At 45.9% G+C, this 19,173-nt stretch overlaps 1 protein-coding gene across 6 annotated transcripts in view; it reads right to left on the reverse strand.

Moving 5' to 3' along the window:
• The window catches only part of IGSF3 (immunoglobulin superfamily member 3), a 93,358-nt gene that overhangs the window by 73,951 nt on the left and 234 nt on the right, over positions 1 to 19,173 (reverse strand). For 3 of the 6 annotated variants that reach the window (XM_047419070.1, XM_047419042.1, XM_011541315.2), the window contains exons 1-2: positions 19,013 to 19,120; positions 17,936 to 18,608 (exon numbers count right to left, since the gene is read on the reverse strand). In XM_047419070.1, the coding sequence (XP_047275026.1) occupies positions 17,936 to 17,978 (43 nt within the window). In that variant the 5' untranslated portion in view covers positions 17,979 to 18,608; positions 19,013 to 19,120. Of the gene's footprint in view, positions 1 to 17,935; positions 18,609 to 19,012; positions 19,121 to 19,173 lie in introns of those variants that run through there. The other 3 variants (XM_047419052.1, NM_001542.4, NM_001007237.3) reach the window with 1 other exon arrangement.

Below are 19,173 nucleotides of genomic sequence, written 5' to 3' on the forward strand. Positions count from 1 at the left end.
TGAGGTGTTCGGTTAGAGAAGAAACAGGATGCACGGGAGATCACACACAGAGTAAGAGGTGCCTCTCAAATGCCTTTCCCACGTGTCTAACTCTGCTTTGTTTAAAGCACAGTCAGACCCGCCATCTGCACTTTTACCTGCTGCCTGACGAAAACCAGATGCCAAAGCCAAAGGCCTCCCAGCACTCACAAGGCCCTTTGCCCTTAGGAAAACACCATGATTCAGCCAGGCAAGATTGATGCAACACTGTAACAAAGCGTGTGCAAAGTGCCTAGCTCCGGACTGCTTGCAGAAAAGGCACATTTTGACTCTTCTGAGAGTGGGAAAGATTTGAAAGATGGGATTTGCACCTTATTCCTATTCAGGTCTGGAGATCTGGAACTTCTTCCTGAAGCTCCATGTTTAGCCAGATAATTGAGACACTCCACCTGGTCACCACTGGACCCCAGCCACCCAAACATTCTCCTCTGCAAGGCACTTGGCATTCTGGTGCCTGTGGAGAGAGCAGCCTTCTCACCAGCACAGCTCATGAACAAGGATGCCCTTCCCTGGACAGCCAAGATGTAAACCTGCCCCCAGAAACACTGAGAGTCCTAGAGGTAGAATGAGTCAGCCAGCAAGCTCCAGCCCATTGACAGCAGACCCCTGAGCAAATCAAGTCAGGAGAAGGTAGACAACTGTACCATGAAGACCACATACCACCCAGACCCAACACAAATAGCTGTCAGCACTGCCACCCATTACAGCTTCAGATCTCGCTTCTACCAGGATTTCCCAGCTGAGCAAGAACCGTCAAAGTCTGGTCCTGGAAGGACAGCCCTCCCCGTCTTGGCAGCCACACTTTCTGGCCCTAGCCCAAGGCTGCTGTGGCATGGAAGGAATCAATGGAGGAATACATGGCTCTTCCCTGGTTCCTTCCTCTCCCACTTCATTGACTAACGCTAGTCACATGGCCCCAACTGAACTGTGAGGGAGGCTGGAAAATCTGGAGTATGTGCATGTCTAGTGAGTTGCCTCTACCACATCCTCTTAACCCTTGGCCTCTCATTCCCAAAGTCTAGCCCTATTTTCAAATGAATTCAACGCCTCATTACTTAGATCTTTCCTCATTACCTCAAAGCCATAGTGGCAAAAGGCAAACAGCATCTTCCTAAAATCTTCCTCTTCCTAAAATCTTCCTCTTCCATCTTCCTCCCCTAGATATCCATCTTACCCTTCTTCACCAGTTAATTTATTACAATCTTCCTTTGACAGCTTCACTCCCTCCCCGCACTGCTATCAACTCAAATGTGAGTTATTCCAGTAGCTTGAACTTGTCACTGGCCTTTTACTTTCTTCCCCTTCCAAAGAACCTGGTACCCAGCTACTTAATCCTTATCCTTCTTCCCAAGGCCCACTTTCATTCCTTTCTCCCCTGTTCATAAGCCTGTAATACTTTTCCGGCTGCATAAGTCACGTGTCACCATATAAACTCACAATTTGAGGTGCTCTAGAATCTGTCCGTGGAATTAGTCAGGACATAATCTCCCTGTTTTTTGGCAGCGCCACATCCACACCTGTCTTCACAGGTTTGCTCATGCCACCATTCCTTTCCCCAGAACGCCCTTCTGCTCCTCCCACACAAATCCTAATCCTACCTCAGGATCCATTTCAAATACAATCTCCTCACTCAACTCTTTCCTACCAACTTGCTTTCCCCTCTCCTTTCTGCCTTACCACAAAGCTAAGCTCTGTCTCTGAATAATGTGCTTTTTGATGATAATCTGAATGGTACAAGAAGAAATCCTGTTTCATGCTCCTTTGAGGGAGTGTCTAACATAGGTTAGACACTATAAGTAGTAGAAAATTCCAACTCAACTGGCTTCAACAGTGAGGACAAAATGTATGGAGATTGGACTGTTCAGTCTTCAGGGGCTTGGCCCTCAGGGTTTTTCCCATCTCTTCCCGTCTGCTGGCCTCAACAAACCTGCTTTCCTCATTGCAACAAGATGGCTGCTTCATGTCCGAGAATCTAGTGAAAGAAGCTGTCCCTTCTGCATTTCCTTTTACAATGAAAAACATCTTTCCCAGAATCTCCCAGCAGACTTCTCATACCTCAGTGGCCAAAACCATGTCACACGCCCATGTCTAAATTACGGGCCTCCAGGATGGGCTCAGCTCAATCAGCACGTACCCTAGAGCTGGAGGCAGGGTCACCTTTCCTTGAGTGGCATGTGGGAGAGGTGTGGCATCCAACCCAACTGGGTCCTGCCAACAGGAAGAGAAAAGAAGAGCCACTGTAGGTAACCAATCACGTCTACCACAGGCAGGGACCAATACCACATATCTGTGTTTCCCCTCACTTGCCACCCCCATCCTGTGCTGGCAGATAAGGATGCTCAACAAATAGCTGTGGAACTACAAATTATCCTGTGGGTGTGAGAAAAGAGTGTGCATTATAATAGGGTGCTACAATTGGACATGTGTGCACAGAAAATGGAAAAAGAGCCATGAAATCCAAACAGATGCAAAAACGTTCTTAACACAGAAGGTTTGGGAAGCTCTGATCTAAGCCCTAGCCTGGGCCCTACTCCCAGTTCCACAGATAGGGAGCAGGCCCCAGGCCAGAGTGCTGGGCTTCTCCCAGCGGGATCCAGCTGGGGCCTTCTCCTCAGTTCAACCCTTGCCTCTGAGGACCAGTGGTCTACAGTCCAGCCCACAACCCTTCAGACAGAAGTTCCAGGCACAAAAAGGAAGCTCACAATAAGGAACGCCCATGCCTAGCCATAACTGAGCACATCACAGACTCACACAAATCTGTGGAATGAGTGCATGATCTCATGAGCTCTGGTCTGGAAAAGTAAGTCTCCCTACACTAAGACTTAAAGGGAAGGCTTCTTTGGCTATGCCAGTATCTCTTTCCTGCCTCTTTCTTCTTCAGGCCAAATGGCTCCTATCCCTGCCTTCCATCTTAGCTTTCCAGCATACTCTTCCCAGGTTCTTTGGGCTACTGACAAGCACTCCAGACCCAAATACACATGCTCCCACCTGAGGCTGGGAAATGTACCAAGAACTGCATAGAAAATATACTGGACAAAAGGCACTCCAGTCTCACAGATATCCAGTCCCACAGTCTATATCACAGATCACCAGTTTTAGCTGTTTGAAGTTTTAGAATTCCTTTTCAAATACCATAGCTAGCATTTCTTTGGCTAGAGAAAACTGTGTTAAATGCAGCCTACCATAGGATCGTTGATTACAACATGCATTCAACATTCAATACATATTGACTGAGCAACTATTAGGTTGAACTATGTGACATTATTGACATTCGACTGCTTCTGACCTATCAAAATGGCAATAAAGCTCAACTTAATATTTACTCTATTCCAAGCAGTAGGCTAAGGAAGGATTTGGGACACCATGACAAACAACACAGAAGTAACCCCTATCTTAATGGAACTTAAAATCTAGTTTATTAAACCATTACTCACAAAAGTACAATCCAACTTCAGGATTGTAATTAATTATAAATGCATTTATTTGTTTACTGCCTGACTTCTTTGCTAGCCTATAAACTACACAAAGATGAGGATTATGTCTCCTCCATTTCACACACTGGCCAAGCATATAGCAGAACACATCATATATTTGTTAAATGTATTGATTAGTGTTACAACAGACAATTGCATGTGCTATGGAAGCATTTGGCAGAGAGATCTAATCTAATCTTGGAAGGTGAGGATCCTGGACGTCACTAACTTGGAATTTCTGATACTGATGATATAAGGTTGAGTTAGGTCTTCATGAAACAGGTCTCTATACAGCATATAAACAACTACCAGCATGCACAGGGGTTTCATAGGGACTATTTAAAATACTTAAGAGAACAAACGGTTTTCAAGCTCAGTCTAGTATTTCAGAAATTCCATTTACATAAACAATTGGTGCACTAATTGCAAATCATTCTTATTTCTCTCCTAAAGCAGTATCCCCTAAGGATCTTTATTAGGCATTCTATTAGCCTAGTTTGAGTTACAGTATTTACTTAAAAGTAATAACAGTGAAGTTCTTGAAAAATATTTGGTAATTCAGACATTTTACTAATTCAAACTAATCTTCCTCATTAGTCTACATTGTTAGAGGTTGAACCATTATATTAAGAGAAAGTATCAAAAGCTTCACTTAGAGTAACAGTCACCAAATTCTTTTGCAAGACACCTTGGTAGCAGGAACCTGGGCTAACATCAGGAGGTAGGTAGAAATAGAAAATAAAGGAATGACAATTTGAAGAGCAACTGCAATCCAATTTAGTCCAACAGATGACACACATATGAAGTCACATTCAAATTATAAGCAGAGCACAAAAAAATTTTAGATCCTTATCTTTTGATTAACCTGGTATCATTCAAGGAAAAATGTCAGGGAACACCACTGACCAGCAGTCCTCTCTTATCTATTTTGCAGATCTTATCCATTTTTCTCCCTGAGAACCAGCCCTGGACACAAACTGCATAAACATCAATGAGCCTAGACAGTGTCTTCATGTGTGTTTGGCCTGCCATTGTTCTCTGTACCCGTACGGAGATTTAGTAACACACTGGTCACATTCATGGGGCATCTTGAACTCTCTTGACATGGTAAATGAACAGCAGGCTCTGTCCCCATGCCAAAAGCAAACAAAAACCTGTCCCCAGCAAGGAAGACACCCAGTCTCTCCAAAGGATGCCAAAGTCCCCATCCAGCCTCCTTTGCAGAGCCTCACAAATCTCTCGGATGCAGGCAGGATGATCATGGGCTAGGGAAGATTATGCTCTGAATGTCTTAAGAGATTAGTTACTTAAAATCCTCCACATGACTTCAGTCATCCCCGTTACAGATCACAGAGTAAAAAGCCTACTTGATTAAAGCTGAATGCCTATACATTTGCAAAAGGGAAAATATGCAGAAGAAAACAAGAGTCAGATTACTGATGGGCATAGCACCAGCTCTAGGACATCAGAGGTGTTGAATAAATGATGACAAGGAGGCACATATAGTTCTGATATATTCACCATAAATACCACAGTCCTCAAGGCTCTCTCAGTTACTTACTTCCCCCCAAATCAGAGACTGAATCTGGCCTTATCTTCAAATGAGGCCCAGCTCTCCCCAAATTCCAAATATGGGAAATTACAGCTCCTCTGTGGTAGGGGGAAGAGTGGGAAGGCGAATGTTTGTATTGCATAATGTTTTAATTTAAAACAAAGATGACGTGCATCAGAGTCTCTTTCTCATCTCCTGTTAGGGGCATTTTCCAGTACTCCTTCCACCCTCTACCCACCCAGGTCACCATGGTCTTTTTCTTCCCTCTAGGACAATTCACCTTTAAAATAAGAGGACTGGGCAAGAAATCTACAAAGATTTTTCTAAAATGAACTCAGGCCTAGAGGCATATTAGTTCTCTATCTTGTTGCTCCCTTCTAGAAGTGCACAGTTCAGAGGGATGCCCAGCCACAGAGGTGCCGAAACGCAGAACTGGAACCAATCACCTGCTCCAACAGAGAGAAGGCGAAAGCACTGGGCAGCGTGCTCAGAATGTGCTCTTGCTTCTTTGTAACGAAATATCAGAAGACAGATTGTAACGTTGTTCAGCAAGCTATTTTTTGTACTGAAACATCAGAAGGCATTATGAAACTGTTCAGCAAATCATCTCTAAACAATGTCATAAAGGGTTACCTAGTTTGGGGTAAGCCCGGAATGAATATCTGCACCATCATTCCTCACACTAACAAACATGTCCATCTATGTGAAGCAGAATTCCCAACACACCACCATCTCCAAACCAACACCAAACCACTGCCAAACAAAGCTGAAGAGGAAAACCAGAAAGGTCTCTGAGAAGTGCTGCTTGTAGGGAGAAGAATGGCCCTGCACAGAGGCTCCTGAGGGCAGCAGGCACCTGCTTTGGCACCTTGGCAATTTCCACCAGGCAGAATTTACAACCGTCTGGGACCTGCAGTCTCAGAGGGCTCACGGAGAAGGGGGAAGCTCTTGGCTACCCAGGAGGTCACCAGTGTCTCTGAGAAAAGTGCAGATCAATGCCTCCTTAGGGTTAACCCCAGGTTGGGAGAGGGCATCTGGCAAGGAACAGACCTGGAAGAGCCTGCCCTTCATCGAGCTGCTACAGCAGCTTCTGGGAATTTGTAAGAGCCATACTGATGAGGGTCCCTCACCCTCCCTTGCCAGGGCGCCCTCAGGGAGGCCACACTGCAGGAGGCAAAGTATGAGGTGGGGAAGATGGATTGGCCTTATACTCACCACCCCCCATACGAGGCTCCTCTGGTATGGACGGTGTCTCCTCTCTGGTGGGAAGTATGTGATTTCTCTATTTCTATTTCTCTTTTGTTTGGGCTTCCTAGAAATTCAGAGCTAGGTGTGAAATTCCCAATTCCCACACACAAGCAACATCCCCAGCAGTAATAAGGACGTTCCACACACCCAGGACTTGGGATATTTGTGTATTTTCAAGAATAAAAGTTTGCCCTTTAGCCTCCTCAGAGCCCCCTCCCTTCTCCTCGCTCTCCCCTTATCACTGCTATTCATCATCTTACTCCTACAGATACCCCCTCTTCCTGGTGGCACCGGGCATTGGTAACTCATGGCTGTAAAGGAGAGCTGAGAACAAAACAGGAAGAAAAGAGGTTAAGTAATGGCAAGAAAAAAGATGTACCTTAGGAATAAAAAAGAGTTCCCCAATGTCACAGTGTATTTAATTAATCCTTCTATTTATTAAAGATTAAAAATACATATCAGGTGACAACTTAAAATGTTAGTCATGATTTTAACTGTGAATTCTGTGGCACCGGAGATAACAGAACAATGAATGCTTGTAGCAGGCACTCGGTTATTTGTTGAATGAACTTCTTGGGAAAGCCTTCTTAGGAAAAGTATTAGAAGTAGATTCTACTAGAACAGGGGCTACCCCCAGAGGTCTCAGGACAAGGGATAGAAAGTCAAACACTGATGTTTAAGAAGGGATGACTATGACACATGAATCCCACAGCCATCTCTCCAAAAGAACAACTATTTTAAAAATCAGGTCTAAAGGTGAGCCATCCAAGAAACTGCTCTTGCTCCCAGAGGTTTTAAAGAAAGTCATTCCCGTGAACGTTGAGAAGTAACCCAACGCTGTGAAATGATAATCTTTTTACAGCAATAACTGTTGCTGCAGGGGTTGAGAAAAAAAAGTTCTCTTCCTTTGGGTTAAAGTCTTAAATGCTGAGCCCGTAGCCAGCAACCTTAAAGGCTACTCGGGTCCAGTTCATTCTATCTGGAGGAGTCACTTGGGAATTGAAAACACACGAAAACTTTTTTTCTGGTCCATGAACAAACAAGAACACTTAACTGAATTAGACACAAAACTAAGTATTTATGGTTGTCATCTTAACAGGTTTCAAACAGGCTTCATTTTAATTTAACATAATTTCAAAATTATAGCAAAATAGTCAATAAAATACGAACGTGCTTAATTTGATGAATTTATGTATTTTTTGAAGAAAATATGCAGAATAAACAAGTCAATTATTCTCACTAAATACATTAAAATTTAAGGGTAATATTTTTATTATGACTTGCTCTCCTGATACAGCAAAATTTATTGTTATATAGTTATTGAAGGAGGCTCACTACTCCCCAATGATTTCACAAATTACAGCTTCAACCAGCTATAAAATAACCAAATCAGTTCTGATATAGCCATAAAATTAAGCCTGAAAAAATAGTGAAGTAAATCATCCCTTTAAAATCAAGTTGTTGAACAATATGTTCCGCATGATTCCATTTATATCAGAAAAAATATATTTGTGTAAGTATATACATAGAAAAGGGTCTGGAAGAACATATACCAAACTATAAAGAATCTATATCAAAGTCAATAAGGAGCATAGACAAGGAGGGGAACTTTCACATTTTACTTTCTACATTCTTTTTTTTTTTTTTTTTTTTTTTTTTTGACGGAGTCTCACTCTGTTGCCCAGGCTGGAGTGCAGTGGCGCAATCTCGGCTCACTGCAAGCTCCGCCTCCCGGGTTCACACCATTCTCCTGCCTCCGCCTCCCGGGTAGCTGCAACTACAGGTGCCCGCCACCACACCCAGCTAATTTTTTTGTATTTGGGGTTTCACTGTGTTAGCCAGGATGGTCTCAATCTGCTGACCTTGTGATCTGCCCACCTCAGCCTCCCAAAGTGCTGGGATTACAGGCGTGACTTTCTACATTCTTGTAACAGAATTATAGTCACTGTTACCTCCATCAAAAAATTAAAATTCAAAAATTAGGCCAGGCACAGTGGCTCACGCCTGTAATCCCAGCACTTTGGGAGTCTGGAGCAGCAGATCACCTGAGGTCAGGAGTTGGAGAGCAGCCTGACTGGCCAACATGGTGAAACCCCATCTCTACTAAAAATACAAAAATTAGCCGGGCGTGGTGGAGGGCACCTGTAATCCCAGCTACTCGGGAGGCTAAGGCAGGAGAATCACTCAAACCCGGGAGGCGGAGGTTGCAGTGAGCCAAGATTGTGCCACTGCACTCCAGCCTGGGTAACAGAGCGAGACTCCATCTCAAAAATGAATGAATGAATTAATTAATTAATTAAAGCAAACAAATATAAGCTACCTCCTGAAGTAGAAACCAGTATCTCTTCATCTTACGTTTACATAATACTTTACCCCAATACATTTTGTCTGCTGTTCTAAATCATGACTTACTTCAAATCAAATCTTAAGTGAAAATCAAGATTTCCTTTTGGGGGCGTTATACAAAAAAGACTGTAAAATTTCATTCTCTGAAAGTCTTTTTAAAAAGGAATAGATTGTATCTGGCTGGGATAGGGTAGGTGTGATCTGACCCACAGCAAATGATGGCTGCTCAACTCTGCATCTCCTTTCCTCTCCCTGATGAAAAGTGCCACCTAGCAAGGTCAATCAAGGTCACCAATGCAAAGAAGTAGTGGGCAAACACCACCCAGGTTATCCAAGGTTCCTAAGGCCCAAAGCAGCACATGGGGTTGGGAAGCTGACGACCTTAGAGATTTCAAAATCACCTAACAATAACCCCACTTTCCCTAACCACAGGGCTAAGCAACCTAATGGATCAAACATGTGTGCTTTGGTCATCCGCAACCCAGACCACTAGACTAATTTTGCTTTAGAACTGGACTATATCAAGTGTGAACGATCATACTGGTTATCATGTGGGAAAAAAGGTTTAATTACTCCCTAATGGTCTGGGAAACCAAAGATTTCAAAATACGGAGCTCCTGGGGGAAGGAGAGTTAATAAAATGGGTCCTTGAGAAGTGAAGTGGGAAGCCTGCCTCATGCCATGGCACCAGCGATGCCACAGGTGTACCCAGTGCCCTGCCGAGAGCAGAGACAGTGTTCTCAGAGTTGCTATCAAAAAGGAGGCCGCAGACTGCATTCTGAAGCATCAGACAATGGGTCACATGCAAAAACAGAATTAAATACACAAAAATAGCACCAACTTAAGGCAAGCCTGGGCAAACTGCACTACATCAAAGAAAGAACACACAACTGGTATCAGATTTTTTTTTCTGTTTTAATAAAGAGAAGGCCTGGACACCTGAAAGTTGACGGGAAGCAGGCATTACTCATTTCTCCGAGTTCACAGTTTTGTTAGAATGTCTTTGCTCTGATTATGGTTTTTTTTTTTTTGAAATGGAGTTTTTTGTTTTGTTTTGTTTTGTTTGCTTTTGTTGCCCTGGCTGGAGTGCAATGGTGCAATCTCGGCTCATCGCAAACTCCGCCTCCCAGGTTCAAGAGATTCTCCTGCCTCAGCCTCCCAAGTAGCCAGGATTACAGGCACCCGCTACCACATCTGGCTTTTTTGTGTTTTTAGTAGAGATGGGGTTTCACCATGTTGGTCAGGCTGGTCTTGAACTCTTGACCTCAAGCGATCCACCCGCCTCGGCCTCCCAAAGTGCTGGAATTACAGGCATGAGCCACCACGCCTGGCCTGATTATGTTTTGATGGATATACAGAAGCTCTTGCTTTGGTACAGAAACAGGCCCCCCTTTGCTTCGACCTCTGGGCCCCCCACCTTCAGAAATGTCTGGTGCCATTCCTGGCTCCTCCTCTCAGTGGTCTTCCAGGATATCCACTCACAGCTTTCTGATGTCGCCCACCTGTCTCTAGCCCAGATACCCAGTCCTCATGGCAACTGACTGCAGCAATTTTTACAAATCTACACCCTTAGGGTTCCCATCCCAGGACATTCAGGTTTCTCCACCCCTTTAGAAGTGCCCAGAATATCCTCTACCCCACAATTCCAACAGGACGTCACTCTCCTCTTACTTAAGAAAAATGCCTAAAATTCCAGCCCTTCCAAAAGGCCTTTCCAGATTGACCACTCAGGAGTTACTCTGGCCTCCCCTTCACTCCTCCTGCTAAACTGAAAACAAGGACAGACTTGCCTGGCCTCTCTCCCCCAGTAGACACCTACCCTCAGTGAACACATCCTGTCAGTGTCCTCCTGTCCATTTGCAAATTGATTGACTGTTTCATTGCTGGCCTTGGATGACCTCTCCTAGAGGGCAGGGACGGGTGGTGTTCGGCAAAGCCTTGGTCGTCTGGATAATGGGAAATGGGGTCTTCTGGTGAATTTAATTACAGGGTTAGGTGGAAACTTTGCTTCAACTCTCGTTATTAGAAAGCCTATTGTAAAGCTTTTTAAAATACAACTGACCACTTTCCAGGCAGGGTAGAGTTAATATGCCTTAATCTTTGATTTAGGATCTTGCAGTGCCCCAGGCTCACCATTCTCTTCTGCTACTATAATTATAGATGCGGAAGACATACAGACTGGGCTGACGACTGCTTGGAAGCTAATTTCTAGAATAAACCCTTGCTACCACATCTTGTGATTTTTGCCCTTCTGAAGGTGGAGTTCAAAAATAAAAACAAAATCCCACTTAACTGAGGGTTCCAGTTGAGGGAGGTCTGCTGCCATGGTCTTTGTTAAGTGCCTGCCACCATGGCCCACAATTAGTCAGTTAATAAAGGGTTCTTGATGAGAGAATTTGGCAACATGTGATTTTCCACAAATATAAGCTTGATTTTGATGCAACCACTCATTTCTTTGAAAATCAGGGGGCATTCACACACAGGTGTTCTAGATTTCCTTAAAGTAAAAACCAACCCTTTACAAGGAATAGCTGTGTTCACTTTGAAGCAGTAAAGAAGCAGGTGTCCACTCATGGCAAATGAGGAACTCCCTTTTTTTTTTTGAGACGGGGTCTCGCTCTTTTTGTGTGTGTGTGAGATGGGGGCCACCCAGGCTAGAGTGCAGTAGTGCAATTACAGCTCACTGTAGCCTCAACCTTCTGGGCTCAACCAATTCTTCCCACCTCAACTTCTGAAGCAGCTGAGACTACAGGTGTGTACCACCATGCCCAGCTAATGTTTTTGATTTTTAGTAAGATGAGGTCTTGTTATATTGCCCAGGCTGGTTGGTCTCAAACTCCTGAGCTCAAGTGATCCTCCTGCCTCAGCCTCCCAAAGTGCTAGGATTATCGGCATGAGCCACCATGCCCGGCCAGAAGCTAAAAATATTAATCAAGGAGTCATAACTAAGGATGCACTGCACACCCAAAGCCAGGGACCACGAGAGGTCAGCAACTGGGACTGCTTCCTCCAGTTCCCAGGCTGGGGCTCAGCAGCAGTGGCCTGGGCTCTGGGGACTTACTTTAAGCCTAAATCCCAAACTCATTATAATTCAAACCAATTTTCTGTGTCCAGCATCATCCCACCTGAACTGGTCCTTAAAACCACTGACAGTCATTTCTCCAATCTGTAAAAGGCCTGCTGAGGCCTTTGCATTATCAGGACTTAATTGGGAGTAGAATGCCCTCCCCATCAAATCCTGACCATTTCTGAACACTCAGCCCATGTCCTCTTCCTGAGTGTCTTCCCCAGCAACAACCACCTACACTGAACTTTACTTCGATCTCTGCAGGAAACTGTAGATAGAGATGCGGTCTCACTATGTTGCCTAGCTGGTCTTGAACTGCTGAGCTCAAGTGATCTCCCTGCTTCTGCCTCCCAAAGTGCTAGGATTACAGCAGTGAGCCACCACACCTGGCCTATGTATGCTTTTCTTTTTTTTTTTTTTTTTTTTTTTGAGACAGAGTCTTGCTCTGTGGCCCAGTCTGCAGTGCAGTGGCGCAATCTCAGCTCATGGCAACCTCCAGGTTCAAGGGATTTTCCTGCCTCAGCCTTCCGAGGTGCTGGGATTACAGGCACACACCATCACGCCCAGCTAATTGGCCAGGCTGGTCTCAAACTCCTGACCTCAGGTGATCCACCCACCTTGGCCTCCCAAAGTGCTGGGATTACAGGCGTAAGCCACCATACCCGGCCACGTATGCATTTTAAAATGTTATGCTCAGATGGGGTCTATAGGCTTCACCAGACTGCCAAAAGGATCCATAACACAAAAAAGGTTAAGAAGCTCTATAATCAGACAAATGTGAATTCAAATTCAGATTCTGCCAAATTCCAGCTCTTTTCCTTTGAACATAATTGTTTTCAAGGGAAAAGTGTCATGAATTTCCTTATCTTGATCAAGGAAGCCAACACAGAAACAACACCTACCTTGTGAAACCATTCACTCATCAAAAAATTAACTGGGCCAGGTGTGGTAGCTCACGCCTGTAATTTCAGCATTTTGGGAGGCCAAGGCAGGCGGATCACGAGGTCAGGAGTTTGAGACCAGTGTGGCCAACATAGTGAAGGCCCATCTCTACTAAAAATACAAAAAAATTAGCCGGGTGTGGTGGTGTGTGCCTGTAATCCCAGCTACTCGGGAGGCTGAGGCAGGAGAATCGCGTGAACCCAGCAGGCGGAGGTTACGGTGAGCCAAGATCGTGCCACTGCACTCCAGCCTGAGCAACAGTGTGAGACTCCATCTCAAAAAAAATAAAATAACTGAACACCTGCTTACTTTGCATGGCACAAGGCTGAGTTCTGGGACTACAGTAATGAACATGACAGATGGTCTTCAAGAATTTTATACAGAAGGTCATGCTATGTAAAGTGTTTAGCACAGTGACTGGCACATAAGCACTCTATAAACACTTTAATACTCACTGATAAAACCACAAAATGTAGTGTTTAATTATATGCTGATTTAGGTTGCTTCCTATGAAACAAACGTTGGTTCATCTAACTCATGCCTTCCTAACAAGCCTTCTTAGAAGCCAGAGGCTCGGCTTCAGAGTCAAACGGAATAGCTTATTAGATGTAAGAACACAGGATTTGGAACCAAATGGTCCTGGCTTCAAAACCCTACTCTGCCACTTTTTAGCTTTGTGACTATGGCAGAGATGGGCAGCTGTCCCCCAAAATCTGTTCTCTCCTTTCCCTACAGTCATAGAATCCCAAGTTTTTCTCAGGACACATGGACCCTCAGGATAAGCATATTTTCCAGCCTTCTTTGCAGCTAAATATGGTCACATGACTAGGTTCTAGCCAATGAGAATGTTAGTGGAAGTGATGTATATAACTTCCAGGAAGTATCCTTACATTAAGAGGTCCTACCCTTCACTAGCCTTTTCTTCCTTCCTGATGGCTGCGGCTAGAAGAGTCATCTTGGACCATGAAGTCATCTTGGGAATAGAGAGCATGCACATGGAGCAAGACAGCAGGAGCTTGGAGCCCTAACACTGTCAGCAATCTATCTTAGGCAAGTGACTCTTTTTTTTTTTTTGAGACAGAGTTTTGCTCATTGCCCAGGCTGGAGTGCAACGGCGCGATCTCGGCTCACTGCAACCTCTGCCTCCTGGGTTCAAGCGATTCTCCTGCCTCAGCCTCCCGAGTAGCTGGGATTACAGGAATGTGCCACCATGCTCGGCTAATTTTTGTATTTTTAGTACAGACGGTGTTTCACCATGTTGGCCAGGCTGGTCTCAAACTCCTGACCTCAAGTGATCCACCCGCCTCAGCCTCCCAAAGTGCTGCGGTTACAAGCATGAGCCACCATGCCCAGCTTAGGCAAGTTACTTAACCTCCCTAAGCTTCAATCTCCCCATCTATAAAAATGTGATAATGCAAGGTATCTATCTTACAGGGTTGTTTTGAAGACTGATTGATATAGTTGGGTCACAGTAAGGGCTAGAGTTAGGAGAGCTGGTATTACTGCCATTATGGAAGTACCAGCAGTCTTGCTGCCATGAAAACCGTAGAAGATGGCAACATCTTAACACAGCCCTGGGTACCTGGAGGTAGCTCAATGATTCTCACAGCTGAAAGGCATCCTAGTAGGCCAAGTCCTCCTGACAAGAATTTCCTTCTCCTGCACCCTTGTCAAATGGTCCCCAGGAAAGGGAAGTGCACTACCTCTGGGACAACTATTAGGACAGTGGTGTTTGTTCATCCATAAATCACAATCCTCATCCCCTTCTTTCAGAACCCTTCTCCTGATTGCTCCAAACCATCTCACTTTTCTCTGCCTCCTCTTTCTCCTCTGCCTTTGATCACTCCAGCCCTGCCTCTGAGGTCACACCCATAGTACTTCAAAGTTTCTTTCAATCCCTTTCAGAAGCCTTTTCTAACTAACTGGGAAGTAAGAGATGGCTTCCTCAGCCTTACCGTATTCAAAGAAGAGACTTCCCAAACTCTACAAATGAACTTCTCTCCCTCTGGAGCAGAACACAAATGATCATTTGCCATCTACAGGTTCTCAGATGTCCCAATCTCCTACATTTTTCATTGCTAACACTTTTAAAGCTATTTAATCTTGTTTGCAACATCAGCACTGGTCTGGGAGGTATATAACTCTTCCTGGCTACACAAAATCAAAATGTGCTGTATGTGTCTAAAGCTTATATTCATCTTTCCTGAGAATTTCCTTCCTGTTCTTACAGACACAAATCCTATGCTCTCTTTCCCACATTGCTGTCATCTTCCCATGTCACTGTCACTCATGCAGGCTGCTCCCAGACAGAGGCACTTTTCCAGTCACCCTTCCCTTCCTACCACTGTACCAGCCTCTATTCTCTCTCTAATCTTCTGCCCCTCTGGCCACATCTATCCTCAAATAGAGACTTTACTACCCTCATGGTTCAACCAGAGCCAGGCTTAAATGGCTTTGTAATTGGAACCAAGGGTTGTGGTGGCAGAGCCATGCACTGCCACCACAACCCTTATTGGGTGAGGCACCTAGGGTTAGGACAGAAGGAAACAACACACAGAGGTCAAGGGGGTAGGTACAAAGACAAAGGGTAGGACAAAGACATAAGCAGGAATCAGTATCCCAACAGACAGAAAAGAGGAATCTGATTCCAATCCCAGACACTGGCAAAGGACAGGTGCAGAAAAGCACAGGTCTGTCATGTTGAGGGAGATGAAAGCGTCTCCGAGATTTACCCTGTATACCCCTCACATACTGTCCAGGGTTTTCTAACTAAAATTGCCATTTCTAGAGGCTGGTACCTGCATCGGTCTCACTTTCAGAGCACTTAGCCTTATCCAACTTTTTTAAACAAAATTTTATTCCAGGCATGTGACCTATATGGGCTTAAAACCTTGGGATTCTTCGCTGTTTTAAATTCATACTACACATTAATTCACATTATGCAGCAAGAATGCTGACACATGAACCAGACCACATCAGAAGACAAGCAGGAAATAAGACCCCAACATGGGTTTTGCTCCCTCCCCAAACGCCTTCTACCTCTCCCAGATTAGTAAAGTAGTAGCCAGGCCTCCTTCCTGCCATACTGAGAGCCATCAGGTGAAGAGAAAGATGAGGTTCCACCAGTGGGGCTCCAAATCAGGCAGAGATCCACATGCATGCCTACAGTTCCAAACCTTCCCACTTCAGCCTGCATCTGGATGTCTGCCACTGTGCCCCTTTAAAGCCACCTTGATGCTCATTTTCCTCCATGGCACCTGTTTACACATGAAGATGAGGGTGGAGGGAAAATGACAGCACCTGCCAGGTGCCAGGGCCCGAGCTCCACTCCACAGAGTGGCCCAGAGAGCGAACAGCAGGGGGACCAGCATGCAGCCTTACATTACTTGAGCAGCCAGAAGAAACAAAAGGCACAAATGTCACATTGCCTTGTTTTCCCATTGATGGTTACTTCTCCTGCCCTGGGCCCCACCCTGCCACTCAGCCCTCTTTCCCGCCTTAGCCACACACCCCACCCCACATCCAAACCTCCCCAAGGGCTTTCCTTGTTTGTGTCCTGTTGAATCCACATGAATCACTAATTGCTGATTTAAACCCAGACACTAAGCGAATGACACATACAGTACAACAAATACAGATCCAATATGAAGAGACTGGCAAATGAAGGGCTCCCTGCCTTCTTGACTCTGCCTGAGCATACAGGTGACATGGAGACACTGCCTGTATCCCAGCCCACAGCTGAACAGAAGACTAACTAAACTACCAGCAGGGTGTCTGCATGCGTTGGGTGGTAGGGCACTGGCGCTAGTGAACTCACCCACTGGTTCTCTACTGAACCATGCATGGAATTACCTGAGATAGCTCAAAGGCTGAGACCTGGGTCCCACTCCCTAAGCGAGTTTGGTTTCACTGATCTGGGGTTGTTGCCTGAAATCAGAATTTTTAAAAGCTTCCCCAGTGATTCCAACATGCACACGAGAGTTTGAGAACCACTGATTGCACAAATCTATTATGAGTTTCAGACATTATTTAAGGCAGTCAAGGCATTTAGGACACCTTATATCCTTTAGTTATCACACCTTCCCTTGTTTTATTGTTTCTGTTTTATTGACATTCAGATGTCAATCATGGTGAAGCTGGGATAGGAACTCAGGTCCTCTAATTCTAAAGTCCATTCTCTTCCCACACACCTGTTACCTACTGCAAGGGTGTAGACAATGCATGGAAGCAATCTCCACTGCCAACAGATCACCCTAAGTTCCCTACGTGCAAGACACCTAGATTTGGAGACGTGAACCCTGTAGGCAACAATCATAATCCCTTCTGAATGCAGAGGACCGAGCCTTACAGAGAGGGCAGGGGGTGTGCTCATGTATGAGGTCTGAGATGGGGAAAGAGAATGGCACCAAATCCTGGCAATGAAGTTTATCCTAGACCTGAGATGTGTTCTAAGACAGCACGCTGAAGACAGTGCTCAATGGCATAAAAAGAATAGGCAATTGTTGAGCAGAGGGGCCTCTTCACTGGGGTGAAGGTCCTGCATCTGCACCTTAAGAGGGGTGTCAAAGGTTCACCTCTCAGGGCCATAGTTTCTTCTTCCCACTCTAGGCATTCTGATTTGTGGGAGCACAAAAGCCAATCCTAAAATCTCCCCTACCAGGCAGCTTCCTTTTCTTCAGGCTCTCCTTCTCCCAGAACTACGATCTAAGCTTCCTTGGTGAGGAGACACAGGACTAGTGCCCTCACATTTTTAGCCTTCAGACCACTCAGGTAGGCAAAGCATCCCTTCAACCCCCATCCCACTTACTCCCATTTCCACCTCAAAAAAGGCACCATCATTATCACCCAAACCAACTTTCGAGACAGAGGGGAATGATGTTCCCACTCCCAATTAGGAATCAATGCAGCCCAACAAAGAAGTGAAAACACCAGAGCATCCATGTTTGACATGCTACAAGACAGCAGCCCACCAGCCATGTGAAGTCCCTAAACCACAGATGTGCAGATGCAGGACCTCACCCCAGGGGCCAAGACAGACACTTTAAGAACAGCAAATGTTCCTTCTTATAGATAACAAATGATATTCCACCGTTGCTCTTGGGTTAGAAACGGGCCTCTTCGTACTCTACTCCAACCTGTGACACACACCGACCGCCTCCTGGTGTCCCCCAAATCCTAGTGTTGATGAAAAAGAACCACGAGAAATTACAGGAACCAAGAGCAGGTTAAACTTTCACATCGATTGCACTGATAAGCAGAGCCACTTACCCAGCACAGCCAGACAGCTCAGCACCGGGAAAAAGCACTTCATGTCGGCAGCCTCCAGGAGACACAACACAAGGCGCTTCCTCTTCTCCCAGCTCCTAATCTCTCATTTCTGGCAATCCACTTATAGCTCCAGAGAACAGTTTTGGAAATAGAACTTAACTCGGAAAATGGGAACAGATTAAAAAGAAGAGATCAGAAGGAGGGAGTTGGGGGGAAGGGGAGGAGTGGAGGCAAGTGTGAAAACTCCCCTATGCTACAGGAAGGGTCCACAACAATTCGGAAGTCGCTCCCGGCTCCTGCCACATCGTGTGCCTTGCAGTTTCCACTGAAATTGCAGACTGTAGTGGATTAATCCTCCAGAAGCACGGAAAAAAGGGTCTGAGAAAATCCTTTCATCCACTGATTATACAGAAATGTCCTTGGCTTCTCAGTGAAGGTGTCTGTGATCTCCCTCATTCGGATTCCCCAGAGAGAACAGGGCAGGTTTCGTCAAAACCTTTGACGGCCAAATCACCCTGCCTGGCATCAACCGTTTGGGTTTCTTCACCAAAAAGTCCGTTTCCATCCATGGTGGTAGGTCACGGAGGCGCCACCTGCCCCACGCCTGCCTAGGGCACACGAAGCAAGTTGGCGTTCGGCAGCCCTGAAGCGGTACCCCAGCGCGAGCAGATTTCTAAAACAAACACAACAGAGATTTTTATCAAAGGCAAAGCTGCAAAACCCACTGGGGCTGAGCGCTGAGCTGGTCCGGACACCTGGGTCCGGTTCCTGGACCAGGACAGTCAACCTCTGCATTCTGACCTTGGGCAAGTCTCTGTCTTTCCCTCCGCCTCAGTTTCCCTGCCCAGAGCAGGGCAACAGTGGGAAGCCCGATTGTTCCTGAAATACTTCCACCAAATGCTTCACTCCTGGGAATTCCCGTCACCTCCTACCGAGCCCGGGCGCCGCAGGTAGCCCCACCCTCCGCCAGGGCAAATCGGGAAGGGGCTCCGCGGTGGGGCCGCGACTCCCGGCCCCCGCCCCAACCGTGGGAGCTCTGCGCGCGACGCGTCCCAGGTGGCCCCGCTATTGTTTTACCTTGCAGGGTGTTTATATCTCGCTGATTGGAAAGAAAAGAAACCGGGGAAGAAGGGAGTCCGGAGCTCCGCTTTCAGCTGCCGGAGCGCGCTCGCAGCGCGCCCGCCCAGCCAGGGGAGGGGTCTCGGGCCCGACCCGGAGCTCAGCCGGCGCGGGCCCGC

Source organism: Homo sapiens, chromosome 1 (assembly GCF_000001405.40).
Source record: "Homo sapiens chromosome 1, GRCh38.p14 Primary Assembly".
Lineage (NCBI taxonomy): Eukaryota > Metazoa > Chordata > Mammalia > Primates > Hominidae > Homo > Homo sapiens.